Source organism: Homo sapiens, chromosome 20 (genome assembly GCF_000001405.40).
Source record: "Homo sapiens chromosome 20, GRCh38.p14 Primary Assembly".
Taxonomy (NCBI): domain Eukaryota; kingdom Metazoa; phylum Chordata; class Mammalia; order Primates; family Hominidae; genus Homo; species Homo sapiens.
Genome location: NC_000020.11, coordinates 62,814,718 through 62,816,212, shown reverse-complemented (window position 1 = coordinate 62,816,212; position 1,495 = coordinate 62,814,718). Strand labels below are relative to the sequence as shown.

Genomic DNA, 1,495 nt, shown 5'->3' with positions numbered 1-1,495 from the left:
AAAGCTTCCAGTTGCCTGTAGGCTCAGTGAAGGCGCAGATGCCAGCCCCTCCCCCAGGAATCTTGAAAATTCCCGAGAAAGGCTGCCCTGGGGGTTGTAGGGGGCTGCAGGAGCTTCCTTTCGGCAGGTGGGGACTCATGACTGTTGCAATGCTGTGAGTTAGCAAGGGCGGGAGGGGATGAGAGGGGAGTGGGCGCAAAACTGCTCAGCAGGAGCACCGCACTCTGGCCGGGCGCAGTCAGCCTGGCGACAGAGGGAGGCCTCATCTCTACCAAAAATTGAAACATCGGCCGGGCGTGGCCAGCTTGGAGACAGAGGGAGGCCTCATGTCTACCAAAAATTAAAACATCGGCTGGGCATGGTGGTGCTCGCCTGTAGTCCACGCTACACGGGAGGCTGAGGCAAGAGGATCGCTTGAGCCTGTAAGGTCGGGGCTGCAGTGAGCCAAGACGGCGCCACTGCACTCCTGCCTGGGCAAGAGAGTGAGACCCTGTCTCAAAATAATAGTGTCGCTCTAATCTCTCCCGCGGTGAAGTGAGTGGAGGGAGATTCTCCCTTCACTGCTGGGTGAGCGCGGTGGCTGGGCTGGGAGGGGTGTGTGCGAATTCCATCAGGCGAGGTGGGAGGAGCTGAAAAGGCCCACCCTCCTGAGGAGTCCAAGTCATCCTGGCACAGAGCTTCCTAACAGAGGACTTTTGATTACGGGGAGAGGTGGGTGGAGCAGGTCAGCCCAGACAGCAGGGGGCCTTAGGGGCTCCCAGCACCAGCCCCACCCCAAGCCCAGGGTCTGGGGGACAGGATAAGTCCTCCCTACCAGTTCCACCTGGCAAGATGACCCTGTGGCCAGCCCCCTCCTCAGTGGCTCTCCCCTGGTCCCTGGCCCCACACCCCACTTTGCCTATCCCCATGATGCCCAGCATGCAGTCAGCAAGGACTGCTATCTGACCCAAATCAGACAAAACACAGCTGGCCTTCACCTCAGGCCAGGGGAGCCACCTCATGCCTGGGACACCTGCTTGGTGTCCCCCCCGAACCACCTTCAAGCCCCTCAAAAAACCACCCCCAGCTCCAGGCAGATCCTAGGCAGAGGGTGGGCACTGTCAGAGCTCAGCCTCCCCCGGCTCACTTTTGAGTGGGGCAGAGCCTCCTGCTGCCCGCCTGTTGTGGGTCATCACTCTCCCTGAAGCCCGGGTTGGCTGGCCAGCACTGCCTGCTGTCCCCAGGTGCCCACCGCCAGGCATCGGCCCCCAGGGCTGCTCCAACAGGCTCCTCACTTCAGGCGCTGATTTTCACCGACTCCAGCCCCACAACGGCCTGGACTGGGGACGCTGGATCTGCCGGGCGCTGCCCCAGTGACTGCACTTCTAGCCCTATGTCCAGCTCACTGCCTCAGTTTCCCTCCATGGCAGGAATCCCCTGAGCCACACTTGAGGCACCAGGGGTCCCACAGCTTCCCCACGCAGCTCTGGGGGATTATTGAACCTCGGGTGTCTCC

The 1,495-nt window shown here is 61.5% G+C and overlaps 1 annotated feature.

Annotated features, from left to right (window-relative positions):
* Window positions 297–983: an enhancer, noted in NCBI's record as "H3K4me1 hESC enhancer chr20:61446582-61447268 (GRCh37/hg19 assembly coordinates)". NCBI's record gives its function as "activates a minimal SCP1, AML or CMV promoter by ChIP-STARR-seq in primed H9 embryonic stem cells {active_cell/tissue: H9 hESC(primed)}" and the evidence as "EXISTENCE:reporter gene assay evidence [ECO:0000049][PMID:30033119]".